Source organism: Homo sapiens, chromosome 5 (genome assembly GCF_000001405.40).
Source record: "Homo sapiens chromosome 5, GRCh38.p14 Primary Assembly".
NCBI classification, from domain to species: domain Eukaryota; kingdom Metazoa; phylum Chordata; class Mammalia; order Primates; family Hominidae; genus Homo; species Homo sapiens.
Window position 1 is genome coordinate 680,004 of NC_000005.10, and position 20,521 is coordinate 700,524.

The window sequence follows — 20,521 nt, forward strand, 5'->3', positions numbered from 1 at the left end:
TCAGGCAGCGAGGAGTGAAGAGGAGAAACTGAGGCAGGTCAGAGGGAGGCCAGCAGGCGATTTCAGACCTGGCGGAAGAGAATGTGCGTGAGCAGAGATGCGGACGGGTGGGAGTCACGACGCGTGAGAACGGTCCGGCCCGCGGCCCCTGCGCCCCTGCTGGGCAGGCACCACCTGTGCTAGGCTCAGCCCCTCTCAGCACAGCAAGCAGCATGAGATGGCACGCATGAGAGCACGGTGGGGGCCGTGGGGGAGAGGGCAGAAAGGAACAGGGGTCAGGCCATCGCCGGATCTACTGAAGACAGACACTGCCTTCAAACGTTCTGAGGAAAAATGCTTCAGGCTGGGACTTGGATACCCACGTCCACTGTCCCACTCAGGCTGAGGGGAGCAAGGCCACCTGCAGTGGGTGTGACCTCAGAGACGTGGCCACACCCCCTGCGGAGGTGCTTGGTGACTGGGCTTCCCAGGAAGACGAGGGTGACAGCCGTCAACAGCCGAGAAGAAGTAGTAGATGCAGGAACCCATGGCCGTCACACGGGAGTGAGTCCACGGGCGCTTGGGAGGGCTGAGAACCAGGCCCAGGCAGTTCCGGAGGGAAAAGTGGAACCCGTCCCAACTCAGCCCCAGCCTTTCTGCACCAAGGGGTGGAGCAGTGCCGACCTCAGACGCCAGCTGCCAGAAATGCTTCCAAAGCCCGCCTCTGCGTGGGGTGTGTGCTGAGGGGTCTCACGTGGGGACTCGCCTCAGAGCCCATCTGAGCTTCACTGTTCTAGGTTCTTGTAGTTTTGTTTTACCTCAAACATGCATTAGCTTAACAAAATATTTTTTAAAAGGTTTTTAAACTAAAAATGACAATGAATTAGGCACGACGTGCCGCTGTGGGAAGTCAGCCAGGCTGCTGCTGGGTCTGGAGGAGCAGGACACGGGCCACAGACACGGAGCAGGAGTGGAGGAGATGGGAGCCACACTGTCTGGATCGCTTCATTAGACCCACGTGCTGTTTCCACAATGACGGTAATAAGAATACATTTAATTTTGAGAGAACATGGAGGTGTCAGACGGACAACGAGCCTGGGTGGGCGCCTCTCCCTTGGCGCTCTCCACCGAGCATGGCATGCTGCTGTGCCAGCTGCTTCTCCTTGGATGGGCAGAGGCCAGGTGTCCTCCACTTTCCCAGTTTCTGGGCACAGCACACCTGAGCCCTGGGTGCAGACCCTCACACCATTTCCCCCAGAGGCTCTGCTCTTTCACCGTGAGGGAAAAGAAGGTTGTGTAGCAGAAGAGACTCCAGGAAGACAAACTGCTCACCTGGGGTCAAAGGACAAGCTCCCAGGCGTGTACCCACCATCTCCACGCGTGTGCCCTGAGCCCCCAGGGGGTCACCCTGCACTCCCAGGCCTGTGCCCACCATCCCACATGTGCCCAGCACTCCCAGGCCTGTGCCCGCCATCCCAGTTGTGCCTGTACTCCCAGGCCTGTGTCTTGCATCCAGATGTGCACCTGCACCCTCTCCCACTGGCCGGCACCTCCCTGGTAGGAGGGACGTGCCAAGCCCTGACCTGACCCAGGTGTCTGCTCACAGCACATGCCCCTTCCCTGGCCAGACCCTATGGGACCACAAGTGGGGCCTGGCCAGGACCTGCTTGGAGGCTGAGCCCACCCCACTCCCACCCACCCCCAGCGCCTCCCCAGGGAGTCAGGAGGATGGCACCTACGGGCTCACCCACGGGTGTGGGCAAGACTGTGTTGTCCAACTGGCATCTTCAAAAAAGGCTTGGAAAGGACAGAAGATGAGGGCAGAGGTGGCACCACAGACCTCAGAGTGGGGCAGGCAAAGGCAGACCCCAGAGGGTGGCTGTCCTAGGGAACGAAGCCTCCTCGCAGGCCAGGGAATGCCTGTCCCAGGTGTGTCACCAGCTCCAAGGACTCGGCCACCTAGGCGGGGCTTCGTCCCAGACACCGCAGGCCACCTTGGCCCCAACCCCACAGGCTGTCCCTGTTCCCAAGAGGCCCCACGGAAAATCACCTGGGCCCCATTTGTCAGAATGAATCTCCTGGGAAACGCCTTCAGACTGGACACTGGACTGCCCAAAGCCAAACTTACAGAAAACCTGCCAGAACAGAATTGACAGGGCTGGGGAAACAGCAGCCCCAGCCTCTGATCACAGAGCTGTCCAGGGGCTGGAAACCCGGGTGTCCATGTGGCATCAGTAAGCGGGGCCAGGCACTAGGACTGACTGGGCTCTGTCACTAGGAACAGGGGTCTCGCACTTGGGCCAGGGGGTTCTCACTAGGACCAGGGGCCTGTCAGTCACTAGGGCCGGGGCCTGTCCCTTGGGCCTGGAGCCTGTTACTAGGGCCTGGGGTCTGCCCCTTGGGCCTGGAGCCTGTTACTAGGACCTGGGGTCTGTCACTAGGGCCAGGGGTCTGCCCCTTGGGCCTGGAGCCTGTTACTAGGGCCTGGGGTCTGTCACTATGGCCAGGGGCCTGTCAGTCACTAGGGCCAGGACCTGTCCCTTGGGCCTGGAGCCTATTACTAGGACCTGGGGTCTGTCACTAGGGCCAGGGGTCTGCCCCTTGGGCCTGGAGCCTGTTACTAGGACCTGGGGTCTGTCACTAGCGCCAGGGGTCTGCCCCTTGGGCCTGGAGCCTGTAACTAGGGCCTGGGGTCTCTCTCACTAGGGCCAGCTGCTGTTTTAAAGGTAGCAGCAGCCTCGGTGCTCCCTTGTTCACTGCCCACGCCCACGCGGGGGTGGCGCCGACAGAGCCTACACGACTGCTCTCCATGTGGATGGCTGTGGGGTGGCTGAGCCTTGCTGGCAGAGGAGGCTGGTGGACAGGCTGTGCTCACATCATCAGCAGTGCTGGGTCAAAGCTGGAGGCAGGAGCCATGGAGTCAGTGGGAGCTACCACCCCTCAGCTCATCACCCCTCCCTGGGGCCTGAGACCTCAGAGCCAGCCCTCGGCCCTGCTCAGGCTCTGGCCTCCCTGAGAACCTCTGTCCTGGTCACAAGTGTCCTGCAGGCCCCCTGGGTTGTGCTGGGCTGGACCAGGCCAGGGTGTGACCTCTGACAGCTCCACCTGCCCTAGAGAAGCCACCAGCAGCTTCTCCAGCTGCACCCGCTGACCCCCAGAGCTCGCTCGCAGGCAAGTGCCCATGGTAGGACAGCTGCTTGTGCCTCAGTCTCCTCATCCTTGAAGGGGTGCAGCCCCCTCCCCATCTCCCTCGCACCCGATGGCCTCATGCAGGCACAGCCCGAGGGAGAACCTGTCTCTGCGGAGAAAGACACTCTGATGGCAGCCGACTGGATTCCACCAGAACCCGAGGGCAAGCATTCCTTGGGAAGTGACCAGGCTGGGAGCATCAGGCACGCACGCCACACACTCAACCCAAACCTTCTGTTAACTCAGGTTCCCAGGAGCCCCGCGTGCTTCTGCCTGGCAGGAGCCGATGCTCGTGCCCTGGAGAACTCCCTGTTCAGGGATGACAATGGGTTCCCTGGTGATTTGGAGGCCTGGGGCCTGGGTGGGAGCTGCTCCCTCTACCCCTGGAGACACTGCCCAGGAATCCAACGTGCTGTGACTGCAGGATGCCCCTGGCAGGGGCCATGCTGGCTCAGACGCCTCTCACCAACCCCTTCCTTCCATGCCCTCAGGGCACTGGCATCCAGGGAGCTGTGAAGGGCACGCTGTGTTGCAAGCTGATTGGGAAACAGGTTGGAGGGGTGGGGGCCGAGGCGCTCAGCAGTATTCAGGCATCTCTCAGCTGGCGACAGGAGCTGTCCCAGGCCCTGCAGGTGGGAGTGCATGCTGGGCAACCTTGGCGGTCCCTGGTCTTCTCTCCATGGGCAGATTCCCCTGCGGATACCCCGGCCTCCACAGGCTCAGCTGGGTGTGCTGCCGCTGGGCTCTTCAGAACCTTTACGCCCAAGTCCTGTCCAGGGGGAGCACCCTCCACCTCGGGCCGGCTGCCATCACAGCCTTCAATCCTGCCCAGAGTCCCTGGAGACTGTTGTCATTAAACCCCACTCCTGTTTAGGAAACCCCAGGGCCAGACCCCACTGCCGGAACAGGACCCTCTCGTGCCTGCAGATGGCAAAGCTCCTGAGGGCCTGATGGACCCTCCAATGTCCCACGGCCACAGTTTCCACCTTGACGCCGAAGCCCTGGGATGGCCCCTCTGCAACGCCCAGTGCTCCATCATGACCTGGCCCCAGGACGCTGACTGAGGGAGCGGAGGGGATCGGGACCAGGGGGAAGCAGCCCCCCAGTAAATCCGAAGCACAGGCACGGCACAGCCCCAAGGGAGACCTTGTAGGCGCCTGGCCAGCAGGGCTGAGGAGAAAGTCTCCACTGCAGGGCGCCTCCTGGGCCCACGCCGTGTGGTCCTGGCCCCAAGCTGCCCACTGGGCATTCAGCCTGGACAGCTCTCGGCGCTGGAGACCCAGAGGACAAGGGGACAGCAACATCAAAGACCACAGCGACCCGAAGCCCCAGAAGCAAAAGCCACTCTCACAGCGGAAGGAGTGGACAGAGCCCCTGTGGAGCTCACCCAGCCCTCCTGTCCCACCAAGGGGCCTTCTAGGACCTGGAGCCCTGCCCTCCTGCCGAGGAGGTGCTTCCCCATTAAACAGGGCCAAGGAACAAGGTGGCTCAGGTCCTGCCATGCCCAGGGTGGACACCGTGCCACCCCGCCAGCCCCCACTCCTTATTTCAGTGCCCATTTGAGCGCAGACGGTTCCTGTTTTTCATTATCATCGCACGGCACTCCTGCTCCGCGGGACTCTCCCTGTGAACCGCCCCACTCTTCTCAGCCCAGGCCGCCTGTCAGGCAGTCAGAGCTCCCAATCAGAACAAAGCCGGCAGTTTTGAGTCTGTGCACATCCCCCTGCAGCACAGGAGGCAGGATGATCAGCCGCTCCAGCCCAGCATCCCCACGGCACACTCGGGAGCACACCCCACCCAGAGGCCAGACAGGTGCACACGGCCGGGGCCGCCCCAGGACACACGTCCAGAGAGGTCACAGTCCTGAAAGGTCACGGTCCTGAGAGGTCACCATCCTGAGAGGTGCCCGGTCCAGAGAGGTCACTGGTCCTGAGAGGTCACTGTCCTGAGGGGTCACTGGTCCAGAGGTCATCACTCTTGAGAGTCACTGGTTGATCCTGAGAGGTCACTGGTCCAGAGGGATCGCTAGGATGGGGTCTCCAGGCCTGGGCTGAGGCTCTGCCCCATAGAAGACCTGAGGTCGGGCTCCTGCTCTCCAGGGACCCTGAAGGCCAGAGCCAAGCCCAGGCTGAGTGCAGTCCCCAAGGAAGTGGGAGGAGGAGGGCAGGGTGGAGTCCTGTGGCAGCGTCCCCAGCACACCACACTTCTATCCTGGTCGTCTCACATGGCGTCCTCCGGCCATCCTGCACTGGGCCACTCGGGACCCCTGCCACTCACCACAACCGCATGGCCTCAGACCTGGGCAGGACAGGGCAGGCTTTGCACACTCCTAAGGCTCATGGGGTGGGAGGGGCCCTGCACAAGGAGCCTTCCGGTAAGGGGGGCAGGGGAGCAGGGGCTGCATGGCCCTGGCCACCTCCACTCACCCTCCCTCCGCCCTCAGAAGAAGAGAGATGGCTGCGGAGGAGCTTCTCGGGTCAACAGGGTGCACCCAGCCCCTGGTGCCCTCTGCCTCTGGGAACCACATCTTGGCCCCCATCTGCAGAGTGTGGTCCTTGCAGCGCCCAGCGTGGCCACTCTGGGGACGGCCACCAGAGCCCATCTGCACTCAGGTGTAGGGATGAGAAGGCGGGGCAGTCTCAGAGAAAACCCTCCCAGGCCACACGGCAGATCCCCTCTGAGTGGGAGACTCAGGATTAAGGATGACAGGGAGACGCAGGTGGGAGGATGGAACATTCCAGAGCACTATGGCTGAGTATCCAGGCCACAGACGCCGGGGCTGCCAGGGCCACCAACTTTGCCACCGAATGGCCACCATGGGATGGAGGTGCCAACAGGGCTCCCGGACTCTGCAAAGGACGCTGTGGCGGAGACTGATACGGGTCTGAGATGGCTGTCCAAGGCCCAAGTGAGAGTTAAACCACATGCCCAGCCAGTGCCCACCACCTGGGCCAACACCATTTCTCTAAAGCACGACACAGGACATTCCACCAACAGAGCATCCCAAAAGGGAATAAAATAGAGATCCCGGCTGGCTCATCCCATCAACCATGTCGGAGACTCGGCGGCTGCAGATGCGGTGGGACCTGCCTCCATTAAAGGCACCTTCTGTGGGGACAGCAAGGACTCTCACGCGGGGCACACCAGGTTAGAGGACACAGCCGGGGCTCTCAAGGGAGGCACAATGGGTTACAGGAGAAAACAGCCGAGGCTCTCAAGGGGGCAGAGCAGGTTACAGAACACTGCAGAACCAGGGGCTGGTCCCTCATCCAGCGCAGCTTCACTGAGTGCCAGACTCACGAGGACCCTGCCCTGCCCCGCCCCAGCCCACTCACTGCCCTTGGGTTACCCTCGGGGCTCCGGGTCCAGGGCACCTGCAGGCAGCTGGAACCAGGGCAGCTCTGGGCCAATGGTGGCCCCATCTAATCCCCAGAACCTGTGAACGCGACCTTGTTTGGAGAAAGGATCTGGAAATGAGATCATCTTGGATTATCCACAGCTGAGCCCTAAATCCAATGGTGAGTGTCTCTACCTAGAAGAGGCAGAAGAGAAGACACAGAGAGAAGAGAAGAAGGTGCTACAGGCTGAATTCGTCCCCTCCAAAATCCACACTGGAACCTAATCCCCATTGTGGTGGCATTAACAGAGCCTTTGGGGGATGAGATTCAGCTATGGGGGCCAGGCTCCTGGGAATGACCGAGTGCCTTATCAAAGGGCTGGGGCATGAGGACATGGCAACCAGGCCCTGTCTTGGAAGCAGGGAAGGGCCCTTGTCGGACGCCAAGCCTGCAGGTGCCTTGATCTTGGACTCTCCAGCCCCCAGAACTGTGAGAAGTGAACATATCATTTCATAAATTACCATGCCTGGTGCTGTTACAGCAACACACACGGACTAACACAGTCGCCATGAGGCCGGGGCTGCAGTGACGCAGCCACACGCCCAGGACAACTGGAGCCACCAGAAGCTAGAAGAGGCAGGGAGCGTCCCACCAAGCCTCCAGAGGAAGCTGACTCATGAGATGCCTGGACGCTGGGCTTCTGGTCTCCAGGAGGATGGGGGAATGCGTCCCTGTTGTGTTAACCCCGGACTGTGTCAATTGTCAGAAGCCTCTGGACACAGTGACACAGCGGGTGGGACCAGAGGCTCAGCACCCCTCATGGGGAACAAAGTCTTTGAGGCCCTCAGGTGGCACTGAGAGACCACAGGGGGCTCCAGAGGCCCTTGGGGGTCCACCTAAGCCAGGATGGGTGTTAGGCCAGGGCTGCCAACAGCACCTGCCTTCTGAGACACATCCAGCCTCTGGTTGCCCATTTTTAGGTGGAGAAAATGAAGGCTGCATACGTGGCTGGTGTGAGGAAGTCAGCTGACGGGAATTTGCTGATTTAAGGGAAGGTTCAGCTGCGTCTGCATGCTAAAGGGCTGTCCTCCAGATCAGATCTAGAAGCTTTGGGAAGGTAATGCAAAAGAATTTCTGATGTTCTTGGCGTGGGGGAAATTTGTTACACGGACACAGAAAGCCTTGTCCTGCAGGAAAAGATTCTTAGAAGGCACCAGATTAAAAGAAAGAACTTCTGTTCGTTGAAAAAATATCATCAAGAGAGTGAAAAAGCAAACCCCAGGGTAGGAGATGTTTGCTATGCACAACAAATGTTGGCTTGTCTCCAGAATATATAAAGAACCTCTACAAATCGATAGGAACTCAATCCACAAAGGGCAGCTGACTTGAACAGGCCCCTCGGGGACGAGGGTATCCAAGTGCCCAGTGCTCGGTGGGAAGCACTCAGCTTCGTTAGTATGACCAGGAAAATGCAAATCATAAGGCTTCCACACAGCCTTACAAAAGGCTAAGACATTGCAAAGGCTGACAGTGGCTAGTGCCGGCAAGGATGTGGGTCAACAGGAAACTGTGGGGGCGAATGGCTTTAATCCCTTTGGGAAACTGCTTGGCATCATCTGATGAACGAAAAGACACACTAGATCCCAGACTCAACGGCTCCACTTCCAGATTGACCCAAGAGACTCATGACCACATGCCCCAAAGAACATCCCAGGAATGCCCACGACAGCTTCATCCCTAGTTGCCAAGAAAGGGGAACCGCGTGGACATGCACCTGCTGACAGTATGGTGGTCTCAGGGACAGCGGGCATCCCCGTGGGAGTGTGGGCGGCGCTGAGCACGAGCACCTGGGGCTCCTCGACGCAGTGTGGACGGACCACTCGCGCACAGTATTGATCCACGTTAGCCAGCACAGCAGTGTGCCCACCACGTGGCTTCTGGTTAAAGGTTAAAAACAGGCAAAGCCAAAGCACAGTGCTCAGGAATTGCAGCTTCGACGGGAAAACGGACGGTGAGTAAGACCCCATCCCACTCCCGGAACACGAAGAGAGGCGGCCCAGAACGGCTGGCACTAGAACTGCAGGTGGACTGTGCCAGGTGCCAGGTGGGGCCCTCCCAGCAGGCGGCCTGGGGACACGTGGGCACTGACGAAGGTGGCAGGAACAAGCCTGGTGGGAGGTGAGGCTGAGATGAGCTTCACCCCAGTGGCTCTGTCCATGGCCCAGGCTCCTCAGGCACTGAGAAGGCAGAGGTGCCACCCCGCCGAGGGGCAGAGAAAACCGGCCCTTGGGCAGCCTTAGGAGAAGCGGGGGCCGGTGTGCGCAGGAGAGGGTGGACGCCCCAGATGCAGCCACGGTGGCCAGGTCACCTGCGAGATGCCATGGGTGGGAGATGCAGGTGGCTGTGCAGCGGTGCCCTGGGCTCAGGGGGAGGGGCTGGGTCAGGTCCCCGGGGCTGGCTGGGGCCTGGACATGGCTCCCTGGCCCTGAGGCACCAGCAGCACTTCTGAGTGGGGTGGGACTGGCCTGGTGTGTTTCTGGGCGGGGATCCAGTGTGAGTGGGTGAACAGTGAGTGGCAGCCATGGGCACGCTGAGGTACGCACACTTCACCCACCTCTGTGGGCCAGGAAGGCATGTCACATACTCCTGACAAGGCAGAGGGTGCTGGGAGCTCGCCTGTGTCAGACATGAGGGCCCTTGGACCAGGGCCTGGGTTTGAAGCCACCTCCATACCCCATACACGGTGCTCACTGCTCCTGGCCCCATTGACTGATGACTGATGGCCAGAGGGGGACAGCAGCTGTGTGAAGTCGCCTGGCAGGTGCGGCTGTTGGTGGCACTCCCTGGGCGGAGGCCACGTTGGACATTTGTGAACAAACGAGCAGGTTGGGGTTACAGGTTATAGGATCTGGGAAATGTGGTCTGTGATGCCATGCGCCCTGGGGGATCTCATGGAGCCCACATGGGCAGGCACCTTTTATCATGCCAAGAAGTCAAACGTGGGATGCCATGTGGGGAACATGCCCTGGGTGGGGGAATACCCTGGGTGGAGATGCCATGTGGGGAGGATGCTCTGGGTGGGGAATCTTTGTGGGGGTTGTCCTGGGTGGTGGAGCCTTGGTGAAGGAATGGCCTAGGGGGTGGCTCTGGGAGGGGGTGGCTCTGGGATGTGGATGTCCTGGGAGGGGGATGTCACCTTAGGGGGAAAGCCTGTTGCAGATGCCCTAGGAGGGAAGCCCTGTGTGAGAGATCATCTGGGTGGGGGCTGCCCCGGGTGGGGGATCATCTGAGTGGGGGCTGCCCTGGGTGGGGGATGTCCCCGGTGGGGGATCATCCAGGTGGCAGATCATCTGGGTGGGGGATCATCTGGGTGGGGGATCATCTGGGTGGAGGATCATCTGGGTGGGGGATCAACTGGGTGGGGGCTGCCCTGGGTGGGGGCTGCCCTGGGTGGAAGATCTTATCAGGGGGATGCAGTGGGTTATGGCCCTGTGGCAACCCCAAACACACACACACCAAGAAGAAGCTGGTCTCCCTAGGAGGAGGATCCACGCAGGGCAGCTTGGGGTTTGGCTCGTGGATGCTGGGGACAAGGCCTGAGCCCCAGATGTGGCTGGGCCTGACCCAGGCAGCTCCACCCCTTCCTTCCCAGGAAACACCTTTTGCTCGAGCAGTAGGAACTAGGCGTGTGTAGATTCTGCTGCCTGATCCTGGCTCCTGGCTGAGGGTTTGTGGGCTCAGATGGACTAGACACCCGGCCACAACCCTCCTGGGCATAGCCTTCTGGCTCCCCCAGCCCAGGCGGAGGCATTGAGCGACTCTCCTCACCCAGAGTGTTTTCCCGAAGGCGCTTCTGCCTGAGGGCACCAGGCTGGGCCAGGTACTGCAGGGCGCTGACCAGCACTGGCCTGGGGGCCCCAAGAGCCCCAGATGGCATCCCTCTCACACACTCCCCCTGTCTCACCAACAGCTATAAATAGACTCGGCTCTCTGCTGGCACGGCCTCTCCCGAGGAAGCTTTTAATTCTCTGCGTCCTCTGCAGGGGGTGGCTCCCACAGGCCTGGGAGGGAACAGACTGCCTGACTCTCCAGAGAGCTCCCCAGTCTCCATCTGCGATGGGTGATCCTAATTTTCTTCAGGAAGTTCTCCTGAGCCCTGCGTGTGGCGCTTTGGCCTTTGTGCCCACGGAAGCCCCCTGCGGCCCCTCCCTCCGGGCCCTGCCCAGCCCGGTGCACGAACCCTGTTTACCGATTCCCAGGCCTAGGGCAGCCACTGCCAGTGTGAGGCTTGCAAATTAGGGTAGGGGGTCAAAAGGAAGCCCCTGTTGACCATTTCTGTGAGCATTCTATGCTCATTTCCACAACGAGCATTTATAACCTCGTATAATCGCTAAAACATTTATTGCAACTTCAGGGAATTCGGGAAGATAGACCAACCGCAGCTGTAAGATTAAAACGCAGCCAGTGACCAGCGGAGCTTCCTCCACGCACACGCGGTCCAATCCCCATGACTTCATGTTTTGTGAAGATGCAAAGCGAGTTCATGCCGGCGCCTTTCTGAATCAGAGATCCGTTTAGAAACCATGAAAGCTGCAGACCCCTCCCGGGAAAACGCACACACCCTCCTGGAGCTCGCCTTCTGCAGCCGCTCCGGGAGCCCGCCCCTCCCCCACAGGCCCTCCGAGGATCACGTGGTGGGGAGGCGCTGGCACCGAGCGGCTGACAGGCGCGAGAGCCCAGTTCAAGGCGGCGGCATCAGGCTGCAGCTGCCTCACTCCCCTCCACTTCCTGCCCCTTCCCGGCCTTGGTCCAGCCCCATCTCCTAGTCCCAGGCCACAGGGAGCTGGGTCACCTCCCAGGGGCAGGGGCTGGCTGGGCGTGGGGGGAGACCTCTCCCCCTGAGAAGTCAGGCGGGGAGGGGTGGCCGGGGTGGGCGGAGGGGCCCAGTCCTCTATCGGTCCCCCAGGGGCCCTGCAAGCAGAAGAGCCAATAAACATGCCAGGTGGATCAGCGGTGACACTGAGAGGGAACGCAACACCCCATCAAAACAGCAGCCCCCCAACCCCCATCAAAACAATAGCCCCCAACCCCCATCAAAACAGCAGCCCCCAAACCCCATCAAAACAGCAGCCCCCAACCCCCATCAAAACAGCAGCCCCCAAATACCCATCAAAACAGCAGCCCCCCAAACCCCATCAAAACAATAGCCCCCAACCCCCATCAAAACAGCAGCCCCCAACCCCCATCAAAACAGCAGCCCCCAAATACCCATCAAAACAGCCCCCAACCCTCATCAAAACAGCAGCCCTCAACCCCCATCAAAACAGCAGCCCTCAACCCCCATCAAAACAGCAGCCCCCTAAACCCCCATCAAAACAGCAGCCCCCCAAACCCCCATCAAGACAACAGCCCCCCCAACCCGTATCAAAACAGCAGCCCCCAACCCCTCATCAAAACAGCAGCCCCCAGACCCCATCAAAACAGCAGCCCCCCAACCCCTATCAAAACAGCAGCCTCCCAACCCCTATCAAAACAGCAGCCCCCAACCCCCTATCAAAACAGCAGCCCCCCTAAGCCCCCATCAAGACAGCAGCCTCCCAACCCCACATCAAAACAGCAGCCCCCCAGACCCCATCAAAACAGCAGCCCCCAACCACCTATCAAAACAGCAGCCCCCAACCCCTATCAAAACAGCAGCCCCCCAACCCCCTATCAAAACAGTAGCCTCCCAACCACCTATCAAAACAGCAGCCTCCCAACCCCCTATCAAAACAGCAGCCCCCAAACCCCTATCAAAACTGCAGCTCCCAACCCCCTATCAAAACAGCAGTCCCCCAACCCTATCAAAACAGCAGCCCTCCAACCCCCTATCAAAACAGCAGCCCCCCAAACCCCTATCAAAACAGCAGCCCCCAACCCCGTATCAAAATAGCAGCCTCCCAACCCCTATCAAAACAGCAGCCCCCCAAACCCCCATCAAGACAACAGCCCCCCCAAAACCCTTATCAAAACAGCAGCCCCGCCACTGCCCGGGAGGGACAGGCTTCTCACCTCCCTCGGCTCCGTTTACGTAACCGAAACCGCAGAATAAAGGGCTCCTCAGATCTTCGGGCGCTGCTCCCAGGGGTGCGGGAAGGTGTCCCGGCAGCGCCTCTCCATCGCCACAGGCCCGCGGACAGTAGCCAAGACCCGGGGCAGCTGGAGGCTCTGCGGGGGGCGGTCTGACAGCCCCACCTGCCAGGACGCGGTGGTGTCAGGACCCTGAGATGGGCCGTTTCTGTGGCCAGGGATCTCTCAAAACCTGCTGCGGGCAGTGACTTCATTCCAGCCCTCCACGCCCTAATTTCCCACGCCTCACACCGGCGGCCCCCTAGGCCTGGGAATAGGGAAACGGTTCGAGTCCCGAGCTGGGGAGGGTCTGGAGGGAAGGGCTGCAGGGGCGTCCGTGGCCGCGAAGAAAGGCCAAAGCGCCAGGCACAGGGCCCGGAGACGGTGACAGACCTGTCCCTGGCGCGGCCGACGGTGACCCCCGCTCGCGGCCTTTGCAAAGCCTCCCCGTCGCGTCCTCGCACCGAGCCCGCAGCGCCGAACTCCGGGCATCCCAATCCGGGGGCTCAGGGACGCGCGGGGCGGTCCGGGAAGGGGGCTCGGGGGAGCGCGGGGGGCAGGGGCTGCGGCGCAGGTGGCTGCTGGGGCTGACGGGCCCAGTCTCCGCCCCCGGGTGCCCCCCGCGCCGCGCCCGCGGGACCGAGCCCCGCGCCCGCTTACCTTGGAGACGCAGCGACTGCAGCGGAGGCGCCTCCGCGACTCGGCCGCGCGCGACCCGGTGCTCAGCGGAGCTCTCCAGCCGCCGCCCCGCGCCCGCCCGTCCCGCCCAGCACCGCCCAGCCCCGCCCAGCCCGGTCCCGGGCCCGCCCCCGGCCCCCAGCGTCCGGCGCCCGCCCAGCGTCCCGCCCCGCGCGCTCATTGGCAGCCCCGCCCCCGCCGCCCCACCCGGCCCGGGGACGCGCGGGCGCACCGAGACCTCTGCCTTACAAGGCCGACTCTGCTCAGGCCCCGCGGACCGCCGGGTATCCGCTCAGCGCAGGGCGCGGCCGACCCGCGGGTCGTGGGAACCGCTGGGCAGGGGGCGGCGGGGCCCCTCACCTGGCTCTGGGGCCCCCCGGGGACGACCGGACCCCGATCTCTCCGCCCCGCAGGACGCGCGTTGACGGTGCGGCGGGGGATGGATGAGCGCGGCCGCGGCCTCCTGGGGTGGGGTGGGTTGGCGGCGGGGCCTCGAGGACGGTGCGGGGCGAGCCCCGACCGCGCCCAGTTCTTTAAGGAGCCGCAGACGGTGCAGGGAAGCGGCAGGGCCGGGCTGTGAGGGTGCTCGGACCCCAAGGCGGGGCGCACCCAGGGGACTGGGCTTCCAGGTGGGGGCAGCGCGGCCGGGGATCGACCTGAGCAGGGAGACGGGTCCGTGCCGGGCGCCCAGCGCAGCTGCTCGGGAGTGGGCCGCCCTTCACGCAGGAGTGGAGGAGCGGAGCGCGCACCCCTGACCCCGGCCTCAGCTTCCGTTCTCCCTGCAGGTCGCCCGTATGCAGCGCCACCATCCCGGCCGCTCTTCCAATCTCGCCTTTCTCCGGGCACCTGCCGCCCCTCCCCCGCTCCCCAGACAGGCTTTGCGGAGGGGGCTCATTCCGCCCGGGGCTGCCCGGCCCTCCGCAGGAGTTGGCTCCCCACAAGGTTCCGGGGCCGAGATGACAGGGCGGTTCTGTGGTGCTGGGTGCTGGGACTTGAGGGGCATAGGGGCACCTGCCCTGGAGGAGGCCGAGGCGCAGCCCCCCAGGAGGAAGGGGTGCCTCTGGTGACTTTCAGCTGGACTCTTCCAGCTGGACTCTAGTGCAGCTGAGCTCCTCCCCCAGCCCCGGCTCTGTCCCTGCACCAGGTGTCCAGCAGGCCCTGGAATCCGCAAAGGCAGAAGGGGAAGTTGGGGTGCTGGGTGCTGGGCAGGGGGTGCTGAGGCCTCACAGCCCGGCGGCTTGGCCCCCACCCACCCCACGGTGGTCCCGCGCCCCACACTTCCTCTCCTCTCCTGTGGTTTCTCCTTCCACTCAGTGCTGCCCAGAGATGGGCTTCTGTCTAGTTCTCCTGAGAAATTCCACACTCGCAGCTGGGAAGTCGGGGGACCCCCGAAGCTGTGCGGCGGCCACGCTGCGGCTCCTGCTTCCCTCCTGCTCGGGTGCGGGCTCGGCTGCCTTCTCGTCCCGCGGAGCCCGGAGTGCCTCCCCCTCGGGTAGATCCTACTAACAGCATCAAAGAAATAATGAAATAATCTCTCCTTGGTGTGTTCTTACCGTCCTAATAGGCACAAGGGGACTCTTCAGTGCATTTTCCAAAACCTGTACAAACTCTCTTGACATAAATGCAGTGAGTTTACAATAAAATCGCAGTGGGAGGTAACGTCAGGCTTCAGAGGCAGACATGGTCCTGGAGCCTTTGGGAGGAGAGGAGAGGAGAGGCAGCGGGCGCGGGGCGGCGTCCAGGGGGCTGAGCGAGGTCTGGGCAGGAGGACAGAGCTGAGCCTTGGGCTGCCCTGGCCCCTGCGCAGGACACACAGTGACCGGGGCTGGGGTGGGCACCCCGGTTCTACCGTCGGGAGTCGGCGTGTTCATGGAGTCTGTTTCCTTGTCTGTGGGTGAAACTTTGGCTTGGGGTCACGGGTGTGTTATTTCCCAGCGACAGTCGGTTCAGTCAGCACTTACAAAATCACCAGAAACAGGGGCACAGGATCTTGCTCAGCAGGGAGAGGTGGATCCTGATTCGGGACTCCAGGCTCTTCACCTGGCCATGGCTGCCCGTCCGGTGGCCCTTCCTGGCCCCCAGCTCTTGCTCCACTGCCAGACCTGGACAGCCTCCATTAACCCTGCAATTACTGAAAACCGACTCACAGCCAATGATGTGATCCACGCCAAGTGTCCCGTTATAAGATGTTTCCTGGGGATCCTTAGAAAATCACTACAAATGGGTTGAACAACAGGGCTTTCCTCTTACGGCTTAGGAGGCCAGAAGTCCGAGATCAAGGCCTGTGCGCTCCGGAGGTTCCCACCTCTTCCAGCTTCTGTGGCTCCAGGCGGTCCTGGGTGGTGGCCGCATGGCTCCACCTCTGCCCCTGTCCTCACGGGGCCTCCTCCCCCGAGTTAGTGTGTCTGTCTCTTCCTTTGCTTATCGGGACACCTGTCACTGGATTTAAGGGCCGCCAGGAGAAGCTGGGATAATCTCAAGATCTTTAATCGAATTACATCTACAAAGATCCTATTTTAACGTAAGGTCTTACTCTGAGGTTCCGGGTCAATGTGACTTTCTTGGGTGGGGGTCACTACCACCCCAGCACCAATGCTTTTCCCAGCTCCACCTGTGTTACCGTGTCAGTGACCAGGAGCGTTCCCCGGGACACCTGCCTGCTTGTAGCTGTTTCCACGGCTTCCTGCACAGGTTCTGCGTCCGCAGTTGGGAGCACCAGGCCAGGCAGCTGTCACATAGGAGGAGGACAGCTCTCCGGGACAAGCCCCTGCTGCCTGGCACCCGCGCCCACCCCTGCCTGGGTTTGGGGTTGGGTTTTGTGGGTAGAGGTTCAGGCTGACAGTGGAGGTTGGGAAGAGCAGACACAGCATGGTGGGTAGCACTGGAAGCCCTGGGTGGAAGGGATGGTGGGAGATGCTGGGCCATCTGGGTCTGCAGTGGGAGACCAGGACAGGAGCCCAGGTCCATTGGGAGGCCCCATGCTGAAGACAGAGGCACGGGGAGCGGGGGGAGCAATGGACTCACGCGGACAGCAGCAGACATGAAAAGGCCTCCGAGGCCAAGTGTGAGGATGCCGGGTCCCAGCACTGAGGTGTCCTGCAGCTGGACCTGTCAGGTGTCCACCCACCCCTGGCAGCTGAATGTCCTTTGACGGCCTATAGGCTGAGCAGCTTCTTTGGGCCCCGTAGGGGTGTGTCCCACAGCAGGTGAGCAGTCAGGGCCCCTTGAGAACCCTAACCAGCTCCTGTGTGGGCCCTGGGCTGGGGACAAGCTACAGCCTAGGTGCATGAGGTCAGAGGGGGTGGTCAGTGAAGTAACGACGTGCCTGCCTGGGTGTGGGGCCTGGGAAGCCTCATGGGGGTGTTGAAGCAGCTCCCATGGGTCCTTGGCAGCTTAGGGAAAATGTCTGCCGGGATGTGTGTGTGCACCTGTGTGTGAGAGTGTGAGAGTGTGCACATGCATGCGTGTGTTTGTGCATTCCTATGTGTGAATGTGCACCTGTATGTGTGAGTATGCATGCCGGTGTATGTATGTTGGTATGTGTTCAGCTGTGTATGTTCAGCTGTGTGTGTGTCTATTTGTGTGTCTCTGTGTGTATGAGTGTGTCTGCGTGTGCCTGTGTCTCTGTGTGTGCATGTGTGTTTGCACCTGTATGTCCACGTGCCTGTGTCTGTGTGTTTGCATGTGTGTGCATGTGTCTGTGTGCCTGCGTGTGCCTGTGTGTGCATGGGCCTGTGTGTCTTTGTGTGCATGTGTGTGTGTTTGCACCTGTGTGTGTGCACGTGCCTGTGTGTGTTTGGGCTGTGATTGCATCTGGTTATTCTGGGGGTGGAATTGCTGTGGAACATGGAATTAAAGTGCAGGTTCCGGGTCTTGCTGCCAGGGAGCGACTCTGGCCCCCCTATCACACACCTGTGACCCAGAGAACGGCAGGTGAGCCTTGCGGCTTCACTGTTGCCACAGGTCAGGGGCTGATGAGGAGGGGAAGCCAAATGGGGGGTGTTCAGCCCTAGGCTGAGCTGCTTGGAGCACATTCTTAATACGCCAGCCATCGCTACCTCAGTTCCACAGCCGATGTTAGGGAAGAAAGATGCGGGGACACGGCAACAGGACAGCGTGCTGGGAAGAAAAGATGTGGACAGGAGCCCATGCCTGGCAGAGACACGGAGGACCAGAGAGAGGATGGCGTTGCAGAGCGGAGGGCCGCAGAGAAGGGAGGAACTTGTGTCTGCAGTGGAGAGGACACACCCCTCTGGCAAGGGCAGCCCTGGGTGTGGCTTTCAGAGGCAGTGGGCAATGAGCTCTGTAAAGCCGAGATGGCTCCAAGCAGACCACAAGGAGCCTGGTCAGCTTCTGTCCCTGTAACTGTTTTCCCCACTGCCAGAAGTGGCTTCACTTGTTGTGTGGATGCCCTGCACTCAGCCCAGGACTAGATGGATTCACAGCCAGATTCTACCAAACATATGAAGAACTAATACCAATCCTTCTGAAACTATTCCAAGAAATCGAAGAGGGGGGATATCTCTCTAACTCATTCTATGAGGCCAGTATCACCCTCGGACCAAAACCAGACAAAGGCGCAACAAAAAAAGAAAACTCCAGATCAATATCCCTGTGAATATAGATGCAAAAATCCTCAACGAAATACCAGAAAATAGAACCCAACAGCACATCAAAAGGATAATACACCCTGATCAGGTGGGATTTATCCCAGGGACGCAAATCAATAAATGTGACGTATCACATGAACAGAATTAAGGATAAAAACCATATGATCATTAAATAGATGCAGAAAAAGCATTTGATTAAATTCAGCCTCTCTTCATGATAAAAATTCTCAACAAATGAGGCATAGAAGGAACATGCATCAACATAATAAAAGCCTCATATGACAGATCCACAGCCAACATCAGAATTAAGGGGGAAAAGTTGAAAGTATTCCTTCTAAGAACTGGTATAAGACATGGATGCCCACTTTCACCACTCTTATTCAACACAGTACTGAAAGTCCTGGCCAGAGCAATCAGGCAAGAGAAAGAAATAAAGGGAATGCACATTGGAGAAGAAGGAGCCCAAACTATCCCTTTCTGTTGGTGAAATTATATTCTACATAGAAAACCCTGAAGACTTGTATCACTGCTGGTAAAGACATGCCTGAGACTGGGTAATTTATAAACAAAATGAGGTTTCATGGACTTACAGTTCCACACGGCTGGGGAGGCCTCCCAGTCATGGTGGACGGCAAAAGGCAGATCATACACGGCAGCAGGCAAGAGAGAGGGTGAAAGCCAAGTGAAAGGGGTTTCCCCTTATAAAACCATCAGGTCTCATGAGACTTATTCACTCCCATGAGAACAGGATGGTGAAAACTGCCCCCATGATTCAATTGTCTCCTAGCTGGTCCCTCCCACAACACACGGGAATTATGGGAGCTACAATTCAAGATGAGATTTGGGTGCGGACACAGCCAAACCGTATTACGACTCCACCAAAAAACTCTTAGATTTGATAAATAAATTCAGTAGCATTTAAGGACACAAAATTAATGTACAGAAATCAATAGCATTCTTATACACCAATAACAATCTGGCCAAGAACCAAATCAGGAAGGCAATCTCATTTATTGTAGCTACAAAAAATTACCTAGATATATATTTAACCAAGGAAGTGAAAGATCTTTATAAGGAGAACTACAACACACTGATGAAAGAAATCATACATGACACAAACAGAAAAGCATCCCATGCTCATGGATTGGAAGAATCAATATTGTTAAAAATTATCATACTGTTCAAAGCAATCTACAGACCCAACACAATCTCTATCAAATTAGAAAAAAAATCCTAAAATTCACATGGAACCCAAAAAGAGCCCAACTAGCCAAAGCAATCCAAAGCTAGAAGAACAAAGTTTCAGGCATCACATTACCTGACTTCAAATTATACTACAAGGGTATGGTAACCAAAACAGCATGGTAGTAGTACAAAAATAGACATCTAGATTAATGGAACAGAATAGAGGACTCAGAAATAAAGACACAAAGTCAATAAAAATCAGGAAATGACACTGAGGAAATGACACCCTTTTCAATAAATGGTGCTGGGAAAAGTGGATTGGCATATGCAGCAGAATGAAACTGGACAAATACCTCTCACCATATACAAAAGTTAACTCAAGAGGGATTGAAGACCTAAACATAGGACCAAACACTATAAAAATCCTAGAAGAAAACTTAGGAAAAATTCTTCTGGACATTGGCCTAGGCAAAGAATTTATGAACAAGTCCTCAAGAGCAATTGCAACAAAAACAAAAATAGACAAATGGAACTTAAACTAGAAACCTTCTGCACAGCAAAAGAAACTATCAACAGGGTAAATAGACAACCTGCAGAATGGGAAAATATTTGCAAACTATGCATCTGACAAAGGGCTAATATCCACAATCTACAAGGAACTCAAACCAAATAAGCCCATTAAAAAGTGGGCAAAGGATATGAACAGCCATTTTTACAAAGAAGACACAAAAGTGGTCAAAAAACATGAAAAAAATGCTCAACATCACCAATTATCAGAGAAAGGCAAATTAAAATCTGAATGCAATACCATCTTAGACAAGTCAGAATGGCTATTATTAAAGTCTAAAAGTAAGAGATTTTAGTGAAGATGTGGAGAAAGGGGAATGCTGAAGTACTGTTGGGGGGAATGTAAATCAGTGTAATCTTTCTGGAAAACAGTATGGAGATTTCTCAAAGAACTAAAAATAGAACAACTATTTGGTTCAGCAACCCCACTACTCGGTATATACCCAAAGGGAAAGAATTAATTATATCAAAAACCACCTGCACTTTATGTTTATCACAATACTATTCACAACAGAAAAGAAAATGGATGAACCTAAGCATCCATCAGTGGAGGCCTGGTTAAAGAAAATGTAGCATATATACACAAGGTAATACTACCCGTCCGTTAACAAAGAATGAAATCATATCTTTTGAGCAACATGGATAGAGGCCATTATCCTGAGTGAAATAACTCAGAAACAAAAAGTCAAATACCACATGTTCTCAAGTATAAGTGGGAGCTAAACAATGTATACACATGGACGTATGGAGTGGAATAAGATGACACTGGACACTCCAAAAGGTGGGAGGGTGGAAGGGGGTGAGAGTTGAAAAATTACTTCTTCAGTACAATGTTCACTATTCAGGCGATGGGTACACTAAAAGCCC

The 20,521-nt window shown here is 58.2% G+C and overlaps 1 protein-coding gene and 1 long non-coding RNA gene across 4 annotated transcripts in view, besides 7 other annotated features; one reads left to right on the forward strand and one right to left on the reverse strand.

The window, feature by feature from the left end:
- Positions 1-20,521, reverse strand: part of TPPP (tubulin polymerization promoting protein) — a 40,866-nt gene that overhangs the window by 20,142 nt on the left and 203 nt on the right. The window contains exons 1-2 of one of the 3 annotated variants that reach the window (XM_047416674.1): positions 13,275-13,349; positions 12,558-12,740 (exon numbers count right to left, since the gene is read on the reverse strand). The exons of 1 other annotated variant lie outside the window; for it this stretch is intronic. The gene's annotated coding sequence lies outside the window, so the exon portion shown is untranslated. Of the gene's footprint in view, positions 1-12,557; positions 12,741-13,274; positions 13,350-20,521 lie in introns of those variants that run through there. One more of the 3 variants, NM_007030.3, reaches the window with a different exon arrangement.
- Positions 1,773-1,942: an enhancer, noted in NCBI's record as "experimental_86835 CRE fragment used in MPRA reporter constructs". NCBI's record gives its function as "activates a minimal promoter by MPRAs in K562 erythroleukemia cells, with activity observed for the non-introgressed 5:681976 variant allele {active_cell/tissue: K562}" and the evidence as "EXISTENCE:reporter gene assay evidence [ECO:0000049][PMID:34662402]".
- Positions 4,685-4,854: an enhancer, noted in NCBI's record as "experimental_86841/86842 CRE fragment used in MPRA reporter constructs". NCBI's record gives its function as "activates a minimal promoter by MPRAs in K562 erythroleukemia cells, with activity observed for both the introgressed and non-introgressed 5:684888 or rs55660354 variant alleles {active_cell/tissue: K562}" and the evidence as "EXISTENCE:reporter gene assay evidence [ECO:0000049][PMID:34662402]".
- Position 4,770: a transcriptional cis regulatory region, noted in NCBI's record as "Neanderthal adaptively introgressed variant 5:684888 (GRCh37/hg19 assembly coordinates) or rs55660354 in the experimental_86841/86842 CRE". NCBI's record gives its function as "modulates activity of the experimental_86841/86842 enhancer by MPRAs in K562 erythroleukemia cells {active_cell/tissue: K562}" and the evidence as "EXISTENCE:reporter gene assay evidence [ECO:0000049][PMID:34662402]".
- Positions 6,811-7,312: an enhancer, noted in NCBI's record as "H3K4me1 hESC enhancer chr5:686929-687430 (GRCh37/hg19 assembly coordinates)". NCBI's record gives its function as "activates a minimal SCP1, AML or CMV promoter by ChIP-STARR-seq in naive H9 embryonic stem cells {active_cell/tissue: H9 hESC(naive)}" and the evidence as "EXISTENCE:reporter gene assay evidence [ECO:0000049][PMID:30033119]".
- Positions 12,775-13,357: an enhancer, noted in NCBI's record as "H3K27ac-H3K4me1 hESC enhancer chr5:692893-693475 (GRCh37/hg19 assembly coordinates)". NCBI's record gives its function as "activates a minimal SCP1, AML or CMV promoter by ChIP-STARR-seq in primed H9 embryonic stem cells {active_cell/tissue: H9 hESC(primed)}" and the evidence as "EXISTENCE:reporter gene assay evidence [ECO:0000049][PMID:30033119]".
- Positions 13,352-13,601: a silencer, noted in NCBI's record as "silent region_15876". NCBI's record gives its function as "represses an Ori minimal core promoter by ATAC-STARR-seq in GM12878 lymphoblastoid cells {active_cell/tissue: GM12878}" and the evidence as "EXISTENCE:reporter gene assay evidence [ECO:0000049][PMID:35858748]".
- Positions 13,537-18,844, forward strand: LOC101929898 (uncharacterized). Its single transcript, XR_925675.4, has 2 exons — positions 13,537-13,719; positions 14,078-18,844. It is a non-coding gene; the product is annotated as an uncharacterized LOC101929898 (long non-coding RNA).
- Positions 14,271-15,149: an enhancer, noted in NCBI's record as "H3K27ac-H3K4me1 hESC enhancer chr5:694389-695267 (GRCh37/hg19 assembly coordinates)". NCBI's record gives its function as "activates a minimal SCP1, AML or CMV promoter by ChIP-STARR-seq in naive H9 embryonic stem cells {active_cell/tissue: H9 hESC(naive)}" and the evidence as "EXISTENCE:reporter gene assay evidence [ECO:0000049][PMID:30033119]".